This window comes from Homo sapiens, chromosome 1 (assembly GCF_000001405.40).
Source record: "Homo sapiens chromosome 1, GRCh38.p14 Primary Assembly".
Taxonomy (NCBI): domain Eukaryota; kingdom Metazoa; phylum Chordata; class Mammalia; order Primates; family Hominidae; genus Homo; species Homo sapiens.
Window position 1 is genome coordinate 209,189,767 of NC_000001.11, and position 25,277 is coordinate 209,215,043.

At 41.6% G+C, this 25,277-nt stretch overlaps 1 long non-coding RNA gene across 1 annotated transcript in view, besides 4 other annotated features; it reads right to left on the reverse strand.

Annotated features, from left to right (window-relative positions):
• Positions 829 to 938: an enhancer, noted in NCBI's record as "active region_2466". NCBI's record gives its function as "activates an Ori minimal core promoter by ATAC-STARR-seq in GM12878 lymphoblastoid cells {active_cell/tissue: GM12878}" and the evidence as "EXISTENCE:reporter gene assay evidence [ECO:0000049][PMID:35858748]".
• Positions 9,876 to 10,814: an enhancer, noted in NCBI's record as "NANOG-H3K27ac-H3K4me1 hESC enhancer chr1:209372987-209373925 (GRCh37/hg19 assembly coordinates)". NCBI's record gives its function as "activates a minimal SCP1, AML or CMV promoter by ChIP-STARR-seq in naive H9 embryonic stem cells {active_cell/tissue: H9 hESC(naive)}" and the evidence as "EXISTENCE:reporter gene assay evidence [ECO:0000049][PMID:30033119]".
• Positions 12,812 to 13,311: an enhancer, noted in NCBI's record as "H3K4me1 hESC enhancer chr1:209375923-209376422 (GRCh37/hg19 assembly coordinates)". NCBI's record gives its function as "activates a minimal SCP1, AML or CMV promoter by ChIP-STARR-seq in primed H9 embryonic stem cells {active_cell/tissue: H9 hESC(primed)}" and the evidence as "EXISTENCE:reporter gene assay evidence [ECO:0000049][PMID:30033119]".
• Positions 18,124 to 18,183: an enhancer, noted in NCBI's record as "active region_2467". NCBI's record gives its function as "activates an Ori minimal core promoter by ATAC-STARR-seq in GM12878 lymphoblastoid cells {active_cell/tissue: GM12878}" and the evidence as "EXISTENCE:reporter gene assay evidence [ECO:0000049][PMID:35858748]".
• LOC105372896 (uncharacterized) overlaps positions 21,668 to 25,277 on the reverse strand; it is a 55,293-nt gene continuing 51,683 nt past the window's right edge. Inside the window, exon 5 of the long non-coding RNA XR_922530.4 lies at positions 21,668 to 22,120. This is a non-coding gene — a long non-coding RNA (uncharacterized LOC105372896). The remainder of the gene's footprint in view (positions 22,121 to 25,277) is intronic.

The following is a 25,277-nucleotide window of genomic DNA, read 5'->3' on the forward strand; positions in this document are numbered from 1 at the left end:
TAGCCTAGAATATTCTTGATAATAACTAGAATTTATCCAAGAAATTAAAATATAAGATCATCCACAGGTTATATATCAGTAATCAAAAGTGAGTATATTATTCTCACTCGGTTTGCTAATGGTTGAAATTGCTCAGCGGGGTAGTGGAATAGTAGAGACCAGATGCTAAGATTCTCTGGTCCTGGGGAAGCAGGTTTTCCATAGGGTCTCCATAGCACAGGTCACGGTGACATTTACCATAACTGGCAACTGGTGCACAGCTCCATAGTAAACATGGAAATGACTTCACTGTAACTAACTTGCTAGCTCCATGTTTTAAGAATTGTGCAAGAATCACTCATCTGCATAGAGAGTACTGATGGTTACACAGCATGTATTTAATGCCAGTGAACTGTACACTTACAAGTGGTTACAATGACAGATATGTCTATCTTGCCACAATAAAAAAATAAAGTTGCAAATAAAAAATAAACAAAAATAAGCACCACCCCGTCTTTAGCCCAGAAGATAGGACATCGTAATACATCTACCCACCAAATGGTAGGACAAAATAGGTAGTAAGTCCACGGGTGAGAAAGTTGACTTGAGGAGAGGAAAACTAGCCTATGAATCACATCTAATTAATTTCAGAGAGTATCAGCTGGTATTCAAATATGTACAGCCTCTTATGTATGCTGGGATGGAAAACTAACAAACAGGAAAGAATGTGTCTCCATAGTTTAGCAAGGTAGCCAAGAAGCCGAAATAGATTCTGCCCGTAAAATGCTATTAGAAATCTACTCAATTAAGGCAACCCCTTACTGTGAGGCCCAATTTCTTTGGCCACATTTTTCACTCTATATGGGTGAGGTTGAGTAAGGACGCCAGCCCAAGTTTATGGGTCTTCAAGTCTTCTTTTAAGAAGGCTTTTAATCCCTCTTTTCAGGGAGGCTGGTCTCGCCAGGAATGGCAAGCTTGCCAGGAACCTACGGTCTTTGGCGCCACTCACAACACTGCTAACTGCTGCTGTCACCACTCTTGTAGGGGGTGGTCTCCTGCACGGCGCCTGCTGCGCCCTCTAGTGTCATCAACGGTCTTGTGCAGTTCTTTGTGGGAAAGGGAACAAGGCTTAGAGTTATTCAAAGCCTAACCTCCAGCGATTTTCCTTTCTGGACTCCTTGGTTCATAGAGAGCGCCCTCAGGGGTCATGGCAGAGGGGAGCCCTGGGTATCCTGTGTATCCGTGTGTATACCCAGGAATTCGGGTCACTTAAAATTCTTGCATTCCTCTTCATTCATTTTCCAGTGAAGTTCAACAGCACACATACAATAGCAATTCTAGAAACTATTCTGGACAGATAGGTCTCCAGGGTGCAGAGGCTAAACAGACACTAACAACAACTATGGCAGAGCCATGTTGAGGCTCACAGCCCTGTTTTTTCCCCCTAAGCCTATGTCTAGACTGTACATCCCAGCCAGCCTTGCAGTTAGCTATGACCAGTAATTGAATTCTAATCCATGTGTAAAAAGCCATATATAAAGAAACAATGAATTTGTTTAGGCTCTTAAAAACTCCCACACTTCATCCTCCTTTTTTTTTTCCTCATATGCTAGCTGAATGAAAAAGATTTCAAGTTCCTGGAGGACAGTGGGCTATAATATGGGACACCATCCAGGGAAAAACATGGACTTTGGTCTGTGACATGAGCGAGAAATAAACTTTTATGGTATTAAGCCACTAAGATTTTGAGTCTGTTCATTATATCAGAAAGCATTACTTGGCCTAACTAGTACATTGACCCTGTGATTCTACTTTCAAAACAGCATGCTAATAAAAAAGCAGTGATGCATATAATAATTTTTAAAAAGAAGATAATAAGGAGGAAAAGTTGTATATTTTTCATTAAAAAACTATCCCTTGCTCAATGATATAAAAAGCTTCCAGTAAACTGACCATACAAGAAATGATTGTTAAGTGAATCTATTTCAGTAATGAAAACCATTATAAAACCAGTTATATTTTTTCTGAAGAAAAAACAGCCTTTTATGTGGTAAAATTACATGTTTAAAGATATAATAAATATTTTATAAATCAAAATTATAAAAGGAGAGCAGAATAATTTATCACAATTATGTACTATTATATACCATATAGAAATTATCAATATTATATATCACTCTAGACTTCAAAGGAAGTATCTGCATTATGTCAAACGGTGAGCATTACTCAGCTGCCAGAATTTCATTGTCAGAACCTCATCGAGGTAGGCTCTGTTCTTTTGTCCAATGATGGCAAGGAAGAAAAGTACCCTGACCATCTGGCAGGGATGCTCTGGTGGGCATGCCTGCCTTGGGCAGGTATGGGATGGAAGTCTGAGACCTCTTTTAACCCTGAGTGTTTATGCCTTAGCAAAGGAGCCAAATAATCTCCAAATTCCATAAGTTTTATGAGGCTTAATGTGAGGCCATATTTGGAATTCTTGTAGCAATTTTTTACTTATTTTGTAAAAAACTCCCAATTCTAAATTCTAATTAAGAAAAGCACAAATGCATATGATGAGGTCTTCCTAGCAATTTCCTTGATGTTCTTTTGGAATACAAAATTATACTGATTTTACATTACCTGAGTTTTCACTAACTCAAGTATAAAGGGAGGGGGGGAAGAATGTGAATTCTTTCATCCTAAAGAGCTATCAGCATTTCAAAAGCAAGAAAGTCATTCTGCAACTTCCCTGTCTATCTGGGAGGGGAAAAATGAATTTAAAATAAAGCAAATGGTTAAGAACTAGTGTTAATTGAAGATCAATCAGGAGTTAACCTACATTACGTCTGAAATTATAGTGCTAATTGATGGAATGCTAGGATTCAATTTAAAAGCAGATGGTTCACATACAGATTTTCACAACTCGAGTAATATAAAAGATTAGATATCCTGCCATATTTGTTTACCCTTTCAATAGGCAGGAAGGAGCTCCTTCAAAGATGCACATGTAAAAGAAGAAAACTTCCTCTCTAGTTTCATTGGTTTAATTTCATTGGGGGCCTAGGCTTGGGATGAAGGTAGGTAGGGGCAGGGTCTGAGCGGTGAGTAGATACATATTACCAAACATAAATTGCCAGTACGCTTTCTGTTTAACTGCTGTGCACATGAAATCTCTGTTCCCAGCAAGGAGAAATTTGCAGGCTGGTTGCATTCATCACCAGAAAAAGCCCTGGATTTTCTGCTGCTGTTGTGTTTGGTGGCTTGTTTTAATTAGGGACCAGGAAATTGATCAGTTTTAGCCCACCAAGCACGAATTCCAGCTTAGACTCTTATTCTTTTCGCCACCATCTTCAGAATTAATTTCTACAGTTCTTCAGCTGCATCAGCATTTTGACCCTGTGTTCAGGTGAATCCAAAACAGTTGCTTGAGTTGGTCAATACAAACATGAAAAATCATGAAATACAGTCGAGAAAATCATCGTTTCAGTCAAAAAGTTGATATAAATGCAGTAAGAAAAGCCTAAAGTTCACCTTTTTGATGAGAAACAAAGGGCTGTGAAGAGATTTTACTCTAAGGCAAAATTTAAGACAAATGCTTTTAAAATGTCACTATCTCTACAACCTAAAGAGCCCTAGGCACAGTGTCTATGTGTATCCTTTTAACAGTGAATGAATTTAACATTCTATAAACACTTGCCTGTATTTCTGCTCTCCACCCCAACACATACACACAAAATAAGACAAAGCACTAGTTTTAGATGCAAATATTGTACTCTTTCCTTAATAGATACATTTGTTGTTTAATGGAACCTATTATTTTGGAAGTGAATCCTTTAGTTCTTAAGATGGTATCAAGTATAACATTGACTTGCATTTCAGAAAACAGTGGTACATGTATGACTGGAGAGAGGTATGACTCTCTCCAGGCCCTTCAGGAAGAAATTTAAAACAAGAACCACAGTCAGAATTTAGTTTTCAATTCCCCCTTATCTAAGGTCTATGTGAATTGAAAATAAGAAAAAGAAGAAGAAGGAGGAGGAGAAAAAGCTTTAAAAGGAAAAGTCTTACTAAAGGATAAAAAAAAATCTGCAAATAATTGGACAATACAAAATAAAATCCTTATCTCCTATAAAGCACAACCAAACACTACCTGGTTCTTGATGAAGTCTCTCTAACGGCAGAAATATGTGAATGAATATAAAATAAGTTAGCAAATGCCTTCGTTACTACTGGCATATTAGAGAGAATGGTGGAGGGGAACTAAGGGATATGAGATCTGATCTTGGCACCCACCAGCTGGTCATCTATGACATTGACCAAGCCCCATGCCCTCTCTGGGCCTCAGCTTCCTCATCTTTAGTATAAGGGGATTCATTTAGATCAGAGTTTCCCAGTGAGTTTGTTACAACTCTAGTTCCATAGGATGGTGGGGGTATAAGGTGAATTTTTTTTTTTTTTTTGAGACGGGGTCTAGCTCTGTTGCCCAGGCTAGAGTGCAGTGGTGCAATGTCAGCTCACTGCAACCTCTGCCTCCTGGGTTCAAGCGATTCTTCTGCTTCTGCCTCCTGAGTAGCTGGGACTACAGGTGCCTGCCACCACGCCCAGCTGATTTTTGTATTTTTATTTTTATTTATTTTTTTTTATTTTTATTTATTTATTTTTTTTTTTTGAGACGGAGTCTCGCTCTGTCGCCCAGGCTGGAGTGCAGTGGCGGGATCTCGGCTCACTGCAAGCTCCGCCTCCCGGGTTCACGCCATTCTCCTGCCTCAGCCTCCCAAGTAGCTGGGACTACAGGCGCCCGCCACTACGCCCGGCTAATTTTTTGTATTTTTAGTAGAGACGGGGTTTCACCGTTTTTTTTAGCCGGGATGGTCTCAATCTCCTGACCTCGTGATCCGCCCGCCTCGGCCTCCCAAAGTGCTGGGATTACAGGCGTGAGCCACCGCGCCCGGCCCGTGATTTTTGTATTTTTAGGAGAGATTGGCTTTCACCATGTTGGCCAAGCTGGTCTTGAACTCCTGACCTCGTGATCTGCCCGCCTCAGCCTCCCAAAGTGTTGGGATTACAGGCATTAGCCACTGCGCCCAGCAAAAAAATTTTTTAAATACTAAATTAAATTCAGTTAAAAGATTATATAGTCAATAAATTAGGAAAACCCTGGGTTAAATAAAGTGAAACAGGTATCTTTACTGCAGAATGTCTCAGGCTCCCTGGCATGCTGTATCATATTACTGAACGGAACTAGGATCCAGTTGTCTGGTGCAGTAAACCCAGACACAGATGCTTGAGATTTGCAGTGGAGAAAAGGAGATTTATTGCATGGCATTAAGCAAGAAGAATGAGCAGTTAACGCTTGAGACCTGAACTACCTAACAGCTTACAAGCAACGGTTTCAGGAGAGCAGAAGTTGCCGTCAAAATTGTAAACCAACTCATGGAGGCTATATATTGGTTTGGCCCATAGGTATGACTCTCTCCAGGCCCTTCAGGAAGAAATTTAAAATAAGAACCACAGTCAGAATTTAGTTTTCCATTCCCCCTTATCTAAGGTCTATGTGATAGCAGTGGGCATTTTCCAGCTGATGGGAGTTTCTGTAAAACAACTCAAGAACATATGCTAAGATGTTGTCTTTTAGTTTCTATAAGGAGCCAAAACAACTTATGACTCTGGCTTGCTTGGGAGATTGTTGTTACTATTTTCTTGCTTATCTGTTCCTCATTTACTTTTTTATTTTTTTGAGCTCTGTCACCCAGGCTGGAGTGCAGTGGCGGGATCTCGGCTCACTGCAAGCTCTGCCTCCCTGATTCACGCCATTCTCCTTCCTCAGCCTCTTGAGTAGCTGGAACTACAGGCATGTGCTTCCACTTCCAGCTAATTTTTAAATTTTTTGTAGAGACAGGGTCTCACTATGTTGCTCTGGCTGGTCTTGAACTCCTGACCTCAAGTTATCCTCCCATCTCAGCCTCCAAAAGTGCTGGGATTATAGATGTGAGCCACCACACTTGACCTATAGCTTAATGCTGAAATAAGAATAATAGGCACTTCGCAAAACTGAGTCCCTCAAGGGACTGAACCTGCCTTTGTAAGACTTTGTGAAAGGCCACAAAATTAGGATTATAACAGGGGTCTGAATTCTGCTAAGACATAGGCATAATTAAACAATAACCAGCCATTGTTCCCTAGCTTGCTTTTTGATAATTGCTTACTGCTCAGGAGTCATGTTGCTGGAGGTCACAAGATTTGTAACTTCCCCAATTGCTCCTATAGATAACATCACTATTGTAAAACCCAACACTGATCTTTCAGATACTTTTTAGACTTTTGCATTCTAGTGGTCCAACTGACACCACCTGTACCCACTCATACCAAGGAACTGACTTAATTGGTCCTGTAACCTCCCACCCAGAAACTGATTCAGCACATGAAGACAGTTTTGACATTCCTATGAGTTCATACCCAGCCAATCAGCAGCACCCATTCCCTAGCCCCCTGCTTACCAAATTATACTTAAAAACCTAGCCTCTGAGTTCTCAGGAAGGTGGATTTGAGAAATATTTCTCATCTTCCTCACTCTGTGCCCCACAAATATTAAACTCTTTCCCTACTGCAACACCTGCTGTCTCAGTGTATTGGCTTCTTCTGTGCAACAGGCCATAAGAACCCTCTGGTTTCTTCTGGTCTGTAACAAAAGTGCCATACATGCATAAGCTATCACAAAATAATGTCTGGCACAGAGTAGCACTCCATACATATTTATCCCCAAATTAATGAGTACATATGCTACAACACTCATAAAAATCTTTCCAAAAGGAAAATACAATATACATTGACCATTGTGTCATTTGACTTTAGAAACTTTACCCTCACAAAATCCAAAAGTATACAATGAATTTTTTTTCCCAACCCTTTCTGCTAACCATCCCACAACTCTCCTTGAAGACAACCAATGTTACCAGTTTCTTACGTACATTTCAGATATTCTATGCAAAAACAAGCAATTTTTTTCTATTTTCACACAAAATATAACATATGGCAAAACATATACATGCTATATACATATGTGTATATATAGTATTGTTGGGGCTCAGAAAACAATGCCCTAAAATATGTTGCTTTGACATGCTGGCTTAAAGCAGCAGCCACAAACTCTATTTCTGACCCCCTGACTCCTCTCTCTGATCCTCTTCTTTTCTGAGGCACCAGAAGAGACTTTCTTTGGAATTTTCTTATCTGAATAAGAAAACTTCTTTCCAAAAGAAATACAATTATCTTAAAACCCTCTCTCTATGAATTTCCTCAAAGAAACAGGAAAGATTAAGAGAGGAGACTGGGAGTTGTCATTATGCACAAGTAGACTTTTCCATCTATTCTTCTGAGAGAAGCTCTGAGAGATTACCTGGGAGATTGTATCTGCATAATAAGACAACATTTGTTCTGTCTTTCACCTTCCTGTAACTTGTCCACAAACTATTGTTTGTCCTTCAATCGTTGACAAACCATTGCCTGATCTTTGGGCCCATTCATTTACGGCTTCCCCCTTTACATCTCCCCAGTGAAGATGATATTTAAGCATCAACTATCTGGTCTTTCTTTGAGTTTTCACCCTTTTTCTGCCCTTACAATACACACACACACACACACACACACACACACACACACACACACCCCTTAATTTTTTCTACTTAAGATATCTTAGAGAAAAAGTTCTAAGATCCTTAATAAGATCTTAGAAAATACTTATGAATATATTATATTACACTTTCCAGATGTACTACAGTTTATTTAAAAGTCATCCACTAGAGGAAATTTAGATCGTTAACAATCTTTTGATTATGGACAATGTTGCCATATAGATGTATCATTTCTGTGACTACAGCTGTAGAATAAATTCCTAGAATTGCAGAGTCAAAGACATATGTTTATAATTTTGATATATTTTTGCCAAATCACTTACCATCACTGTATGATAGAGTTGTTTACCATATTCTTACTCATATAGTCTTCAAACTTTTGAACAAACATTTAAAACAAACATCAATTTAGTTTTCACTTAGATATATCTTATTATGAATATAACTGGGTATCTTTTTCTATGTTCAAGGGAGTCATTTATATTTCTTTTATGTGTGTATGTGAATTCTCTCTTCATATAAATTATGACTTAAATTATGACTTTATTATTAAGTTGTAAGAATGCTTTACATACTTGGGAAACAAGCTTTTGTGATGTGAACTAAGAATCGTCTATCAGATTATTGTTACTTTTTACTTTTTGTCATAATTTATTATATGCACAAATTTTCATTTTCATACATTAAATTAAGAGTCCATACATAACCATTTTGCTCTATTTTTTACTTGAGTTGTCATGTTGGGTGTACTAATAAATCCAATATAAGTTCACCTTACTCTCATGAATAAGATGTCTCTCTTATCTTTAGTGTGTAGATAAGATAAATGAAGTTCTGAGCGTATAAGTAACTAGTCATGCATTAAGTGGCAGAGCCAAGATTTAGACCCAGATTCTTTGGGTTACACTTGATGTTTTTAGCCTCTTTGCTGAATTGCATCCTGAAATACCTGTAAGTTTCATGAAAGTTAAGCCTGTCTTTATTTTTTGTATTCTAATAGTACCTAACACAGGGCAAGGCACATAGATTTTCACTAACTGATGGACTGTTTTCCATCTACTTCTTTCTCTCTCTTTCTCTTATTAATGTAGCTCTTATGGGTAACGTGCTAACTTTCAGCCTCTTATATTGATTTTTAAGAAGTCCACAAAGTCCTCAGATAAGAGAGAATTCACAGGAAGACAAACATCAGACACAAAATAGCTAAACGACATTTGTTTTAGAATAGTCTAGGGTGACTTCATTTGGACAGATAAATGTTTTCACTTTAATGGGAAGCAAAGACACTAGCTACATACAGACACTGAAGTCCTCAAATAATCAAAAGTTCACCTCTTTCTAGAGGCCAAGCAGGGAGCCAGCATCATTTACCAACCACAGAGAGGTATGACATGAGGACTGCATATCATGGCAGTTAGCATTAGGGCAAGAAAATGATGCCCCAAAATACAGTGCTCTGGCATGCCAAGTGCTTTGAATTTTAAACAATGGAAAGGCCTCAGAAATAATCCTTAGAACCAAGATCTCTCTCTGATCCTTTCCTGCTCTCCTGTGTCTCTGATCCTCTTTCTTTCCTGAAGCACCAGGACAGATTTTCTCTGGAGAAATGCAATTGTCTTAAGACCCCCTTCCTAGGAATCTCATCAAATAACCAGGAAATATTAATCTCTAGAGAAGAGAAGACGCTAGGAGTCATTGCCATGCCCAGGCAGATTTTTCATCTGTTCTTCTGAGGACAGTTCTAAGAGATTACTTGTGAGGCTTTATCTGCATAACAACAAAACTTTTGTTCACAGTGAAGTTCCACCCCTCACCTTCCTGCCATCTCCCCCACAGCACAGAGGAACTCTGTCCCAGGCCTTTGTTCTTTGGGTCATTCCTTTCCCATGAAAATGATTTACTTTTACAACCTCCATCTCCCCTTCCCCTATGAAGAAGTGTACATAAGTATCTGGACCTCATCGGGTTATTGGGGAATCATTATCCTGTAATTCCCTCTTGCTCATGCACATTAATTAATAAAGCAAAGGCAAAGCTTTCCCTCTTCAACACTGTATTAGTGATCCCTCAGCTGTAAGACATCCCATCCCTGGTAGCCCATTTCTAGGATAATAAGCATGTGATTTCCCGTTCGCATCTCAGAGAGCCCTACCCCACACGGGCATTTCCCGAGGCTGCCTGTATTGCTTTATTACTCCACCTAGCCTCCGAGAAGCAGCGGTAGTTCACTGTGCCCATGAGATTAGCAAGCGAGTAAAGGGCACTACAGCAAACCGTTGCCGCTGCACTGCTCTCCACCATCAATTAAAAATGGACGCACAAAAATCAGATCAGTTAAGTCTTTACTAAACTTTGGCCTAAACAATGAGCCTTATTTGCTTAGGCAGTATGTGGGAGAGAAGCAAGGCCCTCGTTGCTGTTGCTGTGTATCTCTGCTTGATGTTTCATTTTAAAAAACAAACAAACAAAAAAAGAATGTTACTGTTTCACACTCCCTTTAAAAAAAAAAAAAAAGGACCTGACAGTCTCTGAAGCCAGCCTCTTGTACAACCTAACCTTGTGCTCTCTTTTATCTTTCCTCCTTCGTGCTGCTAGATCATTCAAGCCCAACTCCTCCCTCTCTTGCTTGCCCCAGCCCTGTATTACTCCACCCCCTCTGTAGTGCTATAGAGGCGCTGCGGGGCACAGGCTCCCCACCTGGCTGGGCTTGGGAATCACTGGGGAAGCTTTTTAGTATGAATCTGCGGGCCTGAGTGGAAAGTCACTGAATCAGAATGTCAGGGCAGGAGGGGAAGGGGAAGGTGTCTCACAAACTTGCTTTTTTGTTGTTGTTGTTGCTGCTGCTGCTATTGTTTGATTGGTTAGTTGGTTTGGTTTGGTTTGGCTTGATTTTGTTTGTTTTTTAATGATTTTAATGCAACCAGTTAGAAAGGGCCAGAGTCTGGGAACCACTGCCATAGAAAATTTCTGTCTGGAGATGAGCAATTGAATTAGGCTAGTTTAAAAGTTCTTTTCTACACCAAGATTCCGATATTTGGTATTGCGTACAAGCAAAACGAAGTCCATAAGGTGCAAAGAGTGAGGTGTGTGCAAGTTGTATTTGGATTTTGTTTCCATCACTTGCTATGTGACCTTCACCAAACTTGTAAAGTTCTTGAATCCTCCATTTCTCCATCTGTAAAATGGGAGTAGTAACTGCCCTCACCTCATATGACCATTATGAAAGTTACCTGAGATAGGATGTAGAGGGCCCAGTACATAGAAAGTATTCAATAAATGCTAGCTCTTATCAGTGACTTCAACATTCTGATTGAGCACTCAAGTCCCTGGAATAAAATAGCACAGTAAGACAGGTGCAGTAGCTCATGCCTGTAATCTTAGCACTCTGGGAGGTGGAGGCAGGAGGAATCACTTGATTCCAGGAGTTCGAGACTAGCCTGGGCAACATAGCAAGACTCCAGTCTCAACCAAAAAATTAAAAATTAGCCAGGTGTGGTGGCACACACCTGTGGTCCTAGGTACTCAGAAGGCTGAGGTGGGAGGATTGCTTAAGCCCAGGAGTTTGAGGCTGCAGTGAGCTATGATCACACCACTGCACTCCAGCCTGGGCAACAGAGTGAGACCCTGTCTTTAAATAAACTAACAAATAAAATGGTGCATCTGCACACAACCTCCCATATTCTTTAAATCACTTCTAGGTTACTTATAATAACGCAATATAAATGCTATGTAAATAGCTGTTACACTGTATTTTTAAATTTGTATTATTTTTAATTGTAGTATTATCATTTTATTGGGTTTAAAACAAATATTTTTGATCCAAGTTTGGTTGAATCCACAGATGCAGAACTTGTGGCTATGGAGGGCTGACTGTCCTTAAATTACTAAGTTAAAAAGATTTTTAAAAATTTAAATAAATGCTAGATCTGCAGTTGTTGTTGTCGCCTTTCAATGGTAAACTGCTGTTACTTACAACGCTTCTGACACTAAATTTGTGTGTTTTTTTTTTTTTTTTTTCCTGACACTATCCAATTCTCTAAGCATCTGGACATCAACTGGTTGCCCTTCATCCCAACTCAAGTCAGACAGTAACTACGCAGAGTTTGATAATTTGCTGGAATGGCTCACAAAGTGAGGGAAATATTTACTTACGTTGACTGGTTTATTATAAAGGAATAAAGGATACAAATGAAAAGCCAAATAAAGAGATACATAGGGTGAAGTCCAGAGGGTCCCGAGCACAGGAGTTTCTCTGCCCCCAAGGAGTTGGGGCACATCACCCTCCCAGTATGTGGATGTATTCACCAACTCGAAAGCTCTCAGAGTATTATTATTTAGGTCTTTCACAGATGTTCCATGAAGTAGGTATGATTGATTAAATTATTGGCTATTGGTGATTGAGCTCAATCTCCATCCCCCCCTCCACTCCTAGAGGTTGAGGGATGGGGCTGAAAACCAAATCTCTAATCACATGGTTGGTTCCTCTGGAAATCCACCCCATCCTGAAGCTATCTAGGTGCCCACCTATAGTCATTTCATTAGCATAAACTCAGGAATAGTTGAAAGAGGCTTGTTATGAATTACAAAAGATGTGCCTATTATCCTTATCACTGAGGAGTTTTAGAAGCTCTCTGCCAGGAACAGGAGAGAAAGACCAAATATTTATTTCTTATTAGTGGTTGTCCAACTCTTCCTGGGAAGCTCAGATATGCTGCAGGTGCTGAGTCTACCATACAGGAGAGAAGGCAGTGCCAGACTGGCAGTACAGGACATCCTAAAGTGAAATATTTGTCAAGATGGACTGAGACCACTGAAGGTGGGTCCCCTGTCTTCAAAAGCTATAGGTGCCCCAAAGGTATGATTATCATTCAGCACAACCTCCCGGAGTGAGGGGTTAAGGGAGGGGAGGATTTTATATTCTGTTTGCAACCTCCTGGGCATCCTCCTTCTCCCTCTTCAGTCCTTTGTCTGTTTACTCATCAGAGCCCAAAAAGGAACAGGGAAGCAATCTGGTATTATGACTATAACTGTTTATGTTTCTTAATATTATAATCATCATCCAGATCATTTCTGTTGTTATTCTTACTTAATGTCTAAACGGCCCACAGGGCTCTCAAGATGTACACAGTGGAGATGCCGGTTAAAACTGTGGTGGGGCCTGGCCGGGCGCGGTGGCTCAAGCATGTAATCCCAGCACTTTGGGAGGCCGAGGTGGGCAGATCACGAGGTCAGGAGTTCGAGACCAGCCTGACCAACATGGTGAAACCTCGTCTCTACTAAAAATACAAAAATTAGCTGGGCGTGGTGGCACGCACCTATAATCCCAGCTACTCAGGAGGCTGAGGCAGGAGAATCACTTGAACCCTGGAGATGGAGGTTGCAGTGAGCCGAGATCACATCACTGCACTCCAGCCTGGGCGACAGAGCAAGACTTCATCTCCAAAAAAAAAAAAAAAATTGTGGTGGGGCCTGAAGTCAGGCCCCTGGGCTGGCAGAAGCAGCAATGACAGTCAGTCTCACTCACTCACTGCACCGTGGGCTTCCACCCACAGCTCCTCATTCCTAATGCCAGCCCTTCTCAGAAATGATCTGTAAGTGATCTGTAAGTCCTTTCTCAGGGACTTAAGGGAATTGCAAATTTATTCTCCTGCCACTAGGTGGCAGGCAACACGATGTGCATTTTCCAAGGAAGATATTAACGACAGTCATAAACGGTCCCCCTCTGTCTCCAAGTATTTATTCCCTATAATAAAGTCAGTAAATCTCAAGCTCATTTCTGATTGCAAGCCCAACTTGCTCCATCTGAGAGCACCCCAGGACTGCCTGCTGTAATGTCTGCCATTCAGGGATTCATAATCACAACTCTGATAATAGCAAATCCTTGTGTCTATGGCATTTTATAGTTTACAAAGCACTGTAGGGTTGGTAAAGCTCTTTTGCATGCAGGATCTTATTTGACAAGTGAATGTACATACACACCAAGCCCAGCCATAATGCAACTTCATTATACTGATGAACAATGCATACACAATGTCCTGCTGATCCATTTGCATCCACTTTATATGGAAACAGTTGCTACAGAAGGTCTTGGAACCAATGGCAGTATTTTAAGGTACTCAACTAGTGATAGGCATCACTTCAGCTCAGTGTCTCTGGGACCACCATGGGGAGGTCAGCAGCTGAAAGGCCAAAGCTTTTGGGCTGGGCACGACGGGTACAGCATCTCCTCATTTGGTCTAGTAATGCCACATCATAGAGGTCTGGTTTGTTCTTTTTTCACAAACAAGAACCAGCTACATCTTGTCATTTGCATATAGCCAGCATGAGTTAAGTCACCCTTGCACTCTGGAATAAATTAATTCGTTCAAGAAGGGAATGAATCCTGTATATGTGAGTGTGTGTGTGGCGTGGTGGCGGGGGGGCGGATTTGGGGGGATTGAGGGTAAGAGAATTGAAAATCCACTTGTCTGAGATTATTTTCATCTGTCTCGCAGTTTTATAACTCTTTCTGAAAAGGTCTGATTCCTTTTATTAACAATTGTGAAGGCTTTTCTCCCAGGCTGAATTTAAGAGGCCAACTCTGCATAGGCAGATAGTGATACATTGCAGAGCTCATCGTTTTCTGTTGTGAACTACAAATGGCACACGTTTGTATTTCATAAAATCAGCATAAAAGCAAAAAATGTATTGGCTTGGAGAGTGAGTTTGTCCATCAATGTAATATTCCTATTAGTGCAGCTCTTCAGCTGTGGAAAAAAACCACATTGTATTCCAATAATTAAATAGAGCAGGTGAGTGTTAGGACTTCCACATTAGAAACTCTCTAGTTACACATTGCATATATTTTATTATAGGGCTGGAGGGAAATGAATTTTGCATAATTTTCCGAAAATCCTCACTGCATGTGGAGGCTACAGAAAGCCATGGCTGTTCCCTTAGACTGATGTTTAATCAAGTCCCTTCCTCTCCAACCGGCCACTGAGATGATGCTGTTCAGTCTCCCTGGGTCACCCACTGTCCCAGGCCTCTCAGTGCCAGTCTCAGATACCTCTGGTAACATGACTTGCTATTTCAGAATGCAAGTTGCATAGCAGGTGCAAATTCTGTGATGGAACTTGCAGAATGGACAGAGCAAAATCTCACCAGTTTCATTTCATCTGTGCCCAAAGCAGACTTTATAAAGCAATAAAGACTGAATGTCTAAGGACTTAAAAGAAATGTGCTGTGTTATCATCAATTTATGAAACTCCCACAAGGAAGCAGGCATGATACAAAACATACAAATTGTATCGTTGTTGCCTCTGGAAGTTTAAATGGCAAAGTACAAAATGTTGAAATTGGATATTACTTCTGTCTCACCTCTTTCCTCTCTCTCCCTAACCTTTTTTTAAATTTTCTCTTTTGCCTTTGAGTTTGAAGGGTTCCCTCTGGCGACTAGAGCTTGGCGAAGACTCTGAGTGTAATATCGTAGAAGACACCGAGGTGTGAGCCACTTCTAAATACTGGGTCGGGGCTAGGGCCACGAGAGGGGAGTGGCGAGAAGTGTGTGTGTGTGTGTGTGTGTGTGTGTGTGTGTGTTGAACAAAGGGGTGCAAGTTAAATGGGGCTAAAAAAGAAGGAAAACAGATGGAGATATTGACTAGGCTGTGTTCACTTTGTTTCTGCGATACATCCTCCCTCCCTACCTCCACATTACCATCCAACCCTTTGGGAATTACTGGCCACAAGGACCTTTCCCTGCTTTTGGACATAAGCCTCATACTCATTGCACAAACTCTCCTCTGTGTTTAGAATGTGTCAGGCATTACGGAAGCAAGGATGACAAGGGCATGGCTCCCACTCTTGACAAGATCCTAATCGTGTGCTGAAGACAATTCTGCCATCCCAGTACAGAAGAACATGTTCTACAAGGACTGAGCGAAGTGCTAAGGGAACAAATGCATCTGTTCTGAGTGTCTGGGGCAGCTTCAGAGGACAGGGGACATCTTATAAAAGGCTGAAGGAGATAAAGAAATTCTGTAGAATTCTGGGCAGAGAAGACATACACGTAGTACAAAAGCAGAAAATTGCTCAGCCTGTTTTGAGCGATGATAAATTCTGTTGAAGAATATTGAAAATAAGAGTTGTAAAAGTTGGTTTTACAACTGTTTTACAACAGTTGATCTTACTGTCAATTGCTTTATATGCTACAGTTAGCCGAGTCCTTTTAATTGCAAGTAACAATACCCAGGCTGGAGCTCAGGTTTGGGACAGGGAGAGTTGTTCTCATTGTTAAGAAAAACTATTATAGAAGTGCTAAGATGTCTCACAGGACTCAGGAAGAAGGATACAGTTAGGCTTCAGAAACAACTGGAAGCAGGCCGGGCATGGTGGCTCACGCCTGTAATCCCAGCACTTTGGGAGGCTGAGGCGGGTGGATCACAAGGTCAGGAGATCGAGACCATCCTGGCCAACATGGTGAAACCCTGTCTCTACTAAAAATGCAAAAAAAAAAAAAAAAAATTAGTTGGGCATGGTGGCGGGCGCCGGTAGTCCCAGCTACTTGGGAGGCTGAGGCAGGAGAATGGTGTGAACCCAGGAGGCAGAGCTTGTAGTGAGCAGAGGTAGCACCACTGCACTCCAGCCCGGGCGACAGAGCGGGACTCCGTCTCAAAAAAAAAAAAGGAAAAAACTGGAAGCAGAGACTTGCATATTGTCAGTAATCCAGTCATCTAGATATCACAAATTTCTGCTCCTCTCTCTCTCTCTCTCTGCCTGTCTTTTTCTCTGCATGATATGTACGTGTGTTGTTTAAATGCTTTCTCATTTACTTTTCTTGTCCACAAAATGAGAAACATGGCTGCCAACGCACCCTGGCTTTCAGTCTTACATTCAAGGAATGCAAAGAGAAAGTGACTTCTTTTTACCCATTTCAGTGCCAAAATTCCCAGGGAAGAATTTAACTCAACTTAGGTTATGTCAGGTATCTATGGAACAATCTGCTATGGACATGGGGCATTACAATGTTCAAACCAGCATGGGTCCTTTGCCAAGTCCTCAACCAATATAAGAAAACTGGGCACTGGGGGAGGGATGTCTTCATGCAGCTACTATTCTGCAGCCTATGGATAGACAGAGGGTCAAATCCTCAAATTAAAAAAAAAAAAAGATAGTGCTGAGCAGACAGTTCTATAGGAGCCCACTCCACCATGAGCTCCATTCAAAGCCACAGGGAAATATTACCAGCTTCAAGGAGACAATGACATGGTCTGATCCAATCTGTCCCCAAGATACGGACAACAATCTACTTCGGAATTTACCATAGCATCTAATAATTTTATTGTCAGCAAGTGTTTCTTTATATCTGACCTGTCATATCTACACTTCCTTTAGAGAATATGAAATATTCTCCTCATGACCACAGACTCAAAGACAACTAGTAAGTATTTCTAAAATGTGTCCCCTATAATCAAGCACTGACAAAAAGACTGCCACGTAGTGAGTATTCGGCTAGGTTCTAGGTTTTTAATAGCAACTAAGATCCAGTCCATGCTGACAAGGAGTTTGAAGTCTGGGACCTAGCAAGACGGCAAAGACAAATCAAACCTCCACCAACTAGCCAGCAGAGCATTTGGTTATGTTTCTCTGTCCCCTTCTGAAGACCCAGCTCTGTGAGAACTCGGAGGATGCAAAGACTGCCTCTCCCACTGCCCTCCCCATCCCTGACCTCCAGATGTTTGGGTGCCAGCAGGTTTGAACCCAAGATAGGCAACTCTGCACCGAGAGCTCCTCTCCCACTCGCTGGTGTGCAGTTCAGTCACAAAAGAAGCCCTCTAGTTCACAGGCTGCTGAGCCCTGACAAGGAGGAAGCAGAGGGCTTCAGGCCGAGCACAGCCAGCCCACGAGACTCTGTGAATCCACTCCATGGATGCTTGCTTGCCCAGAGGAAGTTGGTACCCTGAGTCTATCATGCCCTTCCTGGTGACCGAGCCTCAGCACTTCCTGAAAGAGTGAGCAGCCTGAGAATCAGGACACCTTGGCTCTCACCCACAGGGAGGAAAAGAGGCAGATAAATACTCCTGGGAATCAGAGAATCGAGCTTAGAAGCTCCACGATCTGCCGGATCAGCTGAGCTAGGCAGAAACTACCATTGCTGGAAACCAGGGCCAGAAAAGGAACATGTGGGTGGCACACGCATGAACATCTGGTGCTTCTGCTGTGACTGGTGACTCTTCCACTCCTCGTTGGGGGGGACACAGGGCCAGGAGACTGGTCCTACCACTTCAACCCCAGCTGTAACCCTAAACCCCCAGCCGAGTTAAACCCCAAATCATTACTCTGGAGGCTTGGGGAACGGAGGCAGGAGTTGGCATTATTTTTCCACGCAAGTCGGAGCCTGAAAGCTTTGTTTCAGCATAGGCGGAAGCCTCCACTCCAGGGCTTGGGGTGGGCTCGGGAGGCCGCCCGCCGTCGGCCTGACTCACAGCGAGCTCGGCGCTCCCTCTTGTGGCTTCTGTGTTCCCCGTCAGCCTCGGGAAGCTGCCGGCCACCACATACAAATGGACTCCGCGTAGTTAAGCTGTCAGGTCTAATGTATTTATTTGACTCTCTCCTGTTAAAATGATTTCTCTACAGCACTGCGGTTATTTACGACTATTGTCAGTACAAGGCGATGAGAAGGCAGCAGCAGAGGAAAACAACAACAGCTGAAGGAAAAGTTCTGTCTGGGAGGGCTGGGTGGCTGGGTGGCTGGGTCCCGGGCTTTCCCGCGGCTGCAGCGGCTGTGTGTTTACTTTATCTGCAGCGGGGGCTTCGGAGCTCATCCATCCATAATGCAGAGCCCATTGCCCTCAGCCCGCAGTTCACGGCCAGCCCCAGTGAGCGCCCTTGCGGAGGAGCTGTGGCCCGGGGAGGACACCCCCAGCTCTTTTGAGCGCTAAACATTTTCACAGAGACCCCGCGAATGGGCTTTTGGCTTTTCTAGGGTCCAGATCGAGTTCTTTCTTATACAGAACCTGGGACCCAGATGTCGTCCCATGGTTTGTCATTTTGGGTACTGTTTGCCAGAATGCCGTCCCTGGGTAGCAGCATCCACGTCACCTAAGAATTTGTTAGAAATGCATACTCTCAGGTCCCACCCCAGGTTGAAAGAATGGAAGTTCCAGGGATGGAGCCCAGTCATCTGCCTTGTAACAAGCCCTCCAAGAGATTCTGATGTGGGCAAGTGTGAGAATCACAGACCTAGAGAGTTAAGCCCCAGGACAGACCTTGAAGTGAGTTTCCACAGAGAAATGACCCAATACTCCTGCACCCCAGTCTCTTCCTTCTTTTAAAGGTTCCTAGAGGCCAGGTGAGTCCCAACCTCCCCTGGAGCTGATTTGGAAAATGATCCGCTCTGACCTGCAGTAGCATGGAACAGGAGTGATCTGAGAGAAGCAGGATAAGGTAGTGGTTAATGACACAGGTCCTGCAGTCAGTCTGTGTGCAAATTTAGATGACTCCACTTACTGCTCCTGTGATCTTGGGGAAATGACTTAATCTCTGTAAAATGAACATGAGATAGCTTTATAGGGTTATTATGACTAGATGAATTCATTCAGAAAAATTCTTTGAAGAGTGGCTGACATGTAGTGTTAATAAATGCTAACTGTGATTCCATTTTGTAATATTGGCTTCCATGTCCATCTCCAAGTCTCAGTCATCACTCAAAGCTGCAGGTTCATGGATAGATCACTTGTTATCAGAAGACCTGTGTTTATATGTAGCCTGGGCTGCTTATAAGCTACAGCACTTGGTGTAAGCCACTTAGCTTCTCTGTGCCTCAAATTTCTCATCTAAAAATCAATACCTATCTCAAGTTTTCATATAAATTATCCCATTTACTCCTCGCACAAGCATTTGTGCTAGGAAAAACAGGTCTCTCACGATGCTCATTATACAAATGAATCAACTAGGACTCAGAGAGGCCAAGTCATGTATTCAAGGTCACACAGCAAGTAGACGGTGAAATCAAGACAGGAATCCATTTCATCTGAGTCCAGGTCTAATAAATTTTTATGAGATAATGCCTGTGAGGGCACTATACAAATGATGGTTATTATTGTTGTTATTTTGGAGGGGCAATCAGAAGAAAACATCCCATTTTCTGAATGTGAATTCAGGAAATTAAAATAACAAACCATAAAGTCCTTCTGAAAAAAAAAAATAAATCAATAACACCAAAAAAAAAGAAAAAACCAACAAAAAATAGAACATTCCGCTATAGAACAAGCAGCAACATTCTGCTGCTATGATTGAGATAAAATCACAAAAATAAATAGAGAAGTGACACCACCATTTTCCCCTTCCTGGGAGATGTGTCTGTGTTCATGAAAGGTACGGAACTGACAGCAGGAGTGGATGGTGTATTTATTCCTGGGACAAGCACGGCCTCATCTGTTTAGCATTTATATAGTGCTTGCCTCCTCTGCTGCACCAAGGCGCCAGGGAGAATGGGTTATCACTGTGAAAGCTGAGGAGCAGCTGAGGTCCCTGAGCAGGACAGAGGGTCTTTCCACAGCTCCACTCCACCCCACCCTGAGTAAGGAAGGGACTGGGTGGCTTCAGACCCTCTCTGCAGGTTTGCCTGTGCTGCTCATCAGCAAGGGATTCACAGAGAAGGAGCCCAGGAGGAGAGATCTCCGGAAACACTCCTCCTGAGATGTTCTGCAACAAGCAGCTTCCTTCCCCCGTGTGGTAAGGAAAAGAAACCTCCTGCAGCTGATCTCTGGGAAATTATCCTTAAACACTGATTCTATCCTGACCCCCATCCCTTTCCCTATAAATCTTCCATAGCCTTCCATTCCTGCCTTATTCATTCTTAACTTCTCTGCCTAGTTTCCAGCCCTGCTCTTCCTATCTGGTCCTATTTTCCTGAGCTCCCAATTGTGGTCTTCACTTTAGATATACTATGATGTTATGGAAGGTGCAAGAGACCTAGAAGTGAAGAGCTGGGCCTGTGAACTGTGTGGCCTTGAGCAAGTCTCTTTACAGTTCTGTGCCTTGGTTTCATCTTCTGCAGAATAATGCCGGGCTCCTTTGAAGATAGAAGCTTGTGAAACATCTGTCATGTGTTTCAATGTGCTGTTCTATGTTTTTCTTTTTAAAAAATTTTTCCAGGAGATCCTTTGCCCTGGAGGATAATGAGATTTTTTTATTTTTAACAGAAGTAAGAAAGAGTTAAAAGTCTGCTATTGTTGGTAGAAAGAATAATTGAATTTGCATCTAAACAAGTGATGTTGTCTTGAGATGTGATTTTCTGAATTTCGTGGTGTCCCTTTTAAGTCTAGCAAGAATTAAGCCTAAACATCTCTGTTCATGGAATTTTCTCAGAGTCTAGAGAAAGGAACCCAGTGGCCTATAACAGCTAAGCTGTGAGAGTCACTGCTGTACTGAAGAAGGAAGTTATTTTGCAGGGCATTTAGGGGGTGATGGGAAAAAAGAAGGCACAGAGAGAAGAACAGAGTTAAAAAGGAAGTTGGATTTGGCTCAAAGGGGTACATGTGCATTAGCCCTCTGGTTTTTCTCTCTTACCACAAGGGAGCTCTGCTCCAAGGAGATGTTTCACAGGCTGCCCCTGGGTTACCGCCACAGCAACACTGATTTGGTAATGCAGCACGGTGAAGTGTAAACACACTTCAGGGCTTAGCTTAGGTGGGTCTCCTTGAGTTTCAGTGACACAGATGGGACCCAGATGTCCCCATAGCACCCCACCTGCAGCCTCAACAGTGAGACAAGAAAGGCTGCTGAGCTGGCTGTCAAAAGGCCTGCCATGGGGCTCACTATGACCAGGGAAGGGGACTCAGAGCAGAGGTTAGGTGGGAAGATGGAAGCTGTGGCAGAAACAGAAACAGAGGGGTCTACCAGGCAGGCCAGGGAAGTCAGCTAGAAAGGACTACTGCCCTTGATCAAACCCAGGGGGTGACACTAGCCACTGGCTTCATCACTGGAGGCCAAAAGAGAATCCAAAGGCAACATCGACACTTCTTCACTATCCCATCCTAGAGCCAAGTGAGTCCCTCACTCCCACCCTGCCACACACCCAAGCATTATCTCAGAAAAGAAGAGGAAAGAATAGGAGAGACTGAGTACCATCCCCAAATTCGGGACATTACCTTAGAATAAGCCATGTTTTATATCATGGTAGATTAAACTTTAGTCTCTTTGTCATCACTCAGGGGATATGGGGGCTTGTAAGGAAGACCAGATAAGACATAGACCACGTTTGCTGAATATGAGTATATATAAGGAATTCAGGCAACGATTCATTAGACAACTTTGCCTATCCCCTACAGAGGCTAAATGTATCCTGACCTCTCTGTTTCTGTGGCTCTAATGCACCTGTAGAATTTTAATCCTGTCCATCTAACTCTTGCTTACCCTTTGTGTCCTCATCACAGCTCATCTCATCCAGGAGTTGTCCCTGAGTCCTCCAGCCTTCATAGGTGCCATACTTCATTTGTTTCTTCCTTCATCTGTGTGTCCATTTATCAAGCCCAGATCAAATGTTCCTATGGATCAAGCACTACGGTTACAAATATGGCTATAGCACAAGGCATTTGCAAATGTCTTCAGAATCTTGCAGCACCTAGAAACTTTGATCATTAGCTCTTAGGTACATACAGTTGCTGATGTTTTGCACAAAGGTGACCCTTAATAAACATTGATTGAATGAATGAAGAACAACTTAATCTTGGATTCTTGTCCATCCTCTTCCTCTGTTTGTTCTAGAAAACAAAAGCAGGGCTGCAGCAGCACATGCTTTCATGAGGGCAGGGGATGATAAGCTTCTAAATGGTTTCTCAGGTTCCAGTGGGTACCACTAAGTGAACATCTGCAAGTTCTTCTCTCTGCTTCCCAGGGTCATGCAGTGTGGTGATACTGCTGTAGAGGGAGTTATCATAGCATAAAATAACAGGTTTAGTGGCTTGGAACCTCTACCTTTTAGCTGTTTGTTGTTGTTGTTGTTGCTGTTATTGCTACTCAGCTCAGGGAAATGAGAAAGAGAAGGACACATTTCACATGATTCCTCCTTCCTGGTCTTTAACAAGTTTAGCAGTCTACCACTAAGACCTGCTGATTCATTCTTTGGAAGAAAAATAATCTCTTATTTTTTCTTCTTCCTCTATATTCCTGTAGTCACCAGGTAGATCCAGATCCTCACCCTCAGAAATATCCGTCGATGTTCCCCAGCCTGCCATTTAGTTAAAACTCCCCTCACTCTGAGGTACACCCTCCCTTCTGGCTCACTGACATTCTTAATCATTTTCATCCCAATAGACAGAACAGTCCTGGCACCAAGTAAGCATGTAATAAATAATTATTGTATAATCAGGCACATTTCACCCTTATCTAACATGTCAAGTCTAAATTACCCCACCTGGAATTCAAGAAATTTTATACTCAGCCCCCTTGAGTTTCCTCTCTAACTGCTTTGTAGCTGACCCCTCTAATCTAGGACTCCAGATCCCTCATCACTGTCCATCAGGGCCCAGGATGATTCTGACCTTAGGCAGAAGACTCTCTATCCAGGCATCCCAACATTTGCCCTCATTCCCTCTTTCTTCAACCATCTTAATTCTATCCATGCTTTCATTGATCTGAAGAGGCTCTCAACGAATATCCATGCTGTGCAGTTCAGTTCCACTTCTTATAAGAAGCCCTCTGACTATGCCTGTGTGGGGCTCATTCCTGCTTGCCTGCAACACTGTCTTCCATTGGTTTACTTGTATGGATCTCTCACGTGGCTACTCAAATGTCACCCCTGCTACTGTAAAAGTTCTCCAAAGCCAGGGGCTATTTTACTTTCTCTTTTCATCTCCTTTTTACTTTTCTATCTTTTAATATGGTTTTTCCTTTTATTAATATATAATATTTTATGTATTTATGGGGTATATGTGTTTTTTACATGCATAGAATGTGTAATGATTGTGTTCTAGCTACTTTGAAATACATAATAGGTTGTTGCTAACTACAGTCACCCTAATCGACTGTTTAATATTGAAATTTTTTTTCTTCTATCTCACTGTAAGTTTGCACTCAATCACCAACCTTCTTTGTTTCTTCATCCTATCTTCACAACCTTCTCAGCCGCTTGTATCTACCATTCTATTCTCCATCTCCATGTGATCAAGCTTTTTAGGTCCTACATATGAGTGAGAACATGTACAATTTGTGTTTTTGTGCCTGGGTTTTTTTTACTTAACAAAGTGACCTCTAGTTCTATCCATGTTGCTGCAAATAACATGATTCCATTCTTTTTATGGGTGAATAGCATTTTATTATGTATATATGCTACATTTTTATTATCCATTTGTCCACCAATGGACACTTAGATTGATTCCATGTCCTTGCTATTGTGAATAGTGCTGCAATAAACATGTAAGTACATATATCCCTTTGATATATTGATTTCTTTTCCTTTGGATGGCTCTCCACTAATGGGATTACTGAATCATATGGTAGTTTTATTTTTAGTTTTTTGAGGTGTCTCCATACTGTTTTCCGCAGTGATTGAACTAATTCATATTAACAACAAAAATGTATAAGAGTTCTCTTTTTTCCACATCCTCGCCAGCATCTGGTATTTTTCTGTCTTTTTAATGATAGCCATTCTATTTGGGGTAGGATGATATCACATTGTGGTTTTGATTTGAATTTCCCTGTTGCATAGTGATGTTGAGGATTTTCTTCACGTACCTGTTGTCTATTTATGTTCTTTGCCCACTTTTTAATAGGATCTTTTTTTCACTGTTGATTGAGTTGTTTGAGTTCCTTATGAATTCTCAATATTAGTTCCTTGTTGGATGAATAGTTTGCAAATATTTTCTTCCATTCAACAGGTTTTCTCTTCATTCTGTTGATTGTTTCCTTGCTGTGTAGAAGTTTTTGAGTTTGATATAGTCCCATTTGTCTACGTTTGCTTCAGTTGTTTGTGTTTTTGAGGTTTTGACATAAAATCTTTGCCTAGACCAACGTCTTGAAGTGTTTTACCTATGATTTCTTCTAGTAGTTTTACAGTTTTGGGTCCTGCACTTAAGTCTTTCACCTATCTTGAGTATATTTTTATATATGGTGAAAGATGGGGTCCAATTTCATTCTTCTGCTTATGGATATCCAATTTTCCTACTGTCATTTATTAAACAGAATGTCCATTTTTCAGTGTTTCTTCTTGGAGCCTTTGTTGAAAATAAGTTGGTCATAAATATATGGAATTATTTTCTGGGTGCTCTATTCAGTTCCACTGGTCTATGTGTCAATTTTTATTAAAATACCAAGCTATTTTGGTTACTAGAGCCTTGCAGTATATTTTGCAAGGCTACAGGTAGTGTGATTTGTTCTTTTTGCTCAGTATTGTTTTGGCTATTGAGGCTCTTTTTTGATTCCACAAGAATTTTAGGATTTCTTTTTATATTTCTGTGAAAAAATGCCATTGGTATTTGATAGAGATTGCGTTGAGTCTGTACATTGCTTTGGGAAATATGATCATTTTAATGATATCAATTCTTTGAATCCATAAGCATGGGATGTCTTTCCATTTATTTATGTTTTCTTCAGTTTCTTTCATCAGTGCTTTGTAGTTTTTCTTGTAAAGATATTTTACCTCCTTGGTTAAATGTATTCCTAGGTATTTTTTATTTTTGTTGCTATTATAAATGGGATTGCCTT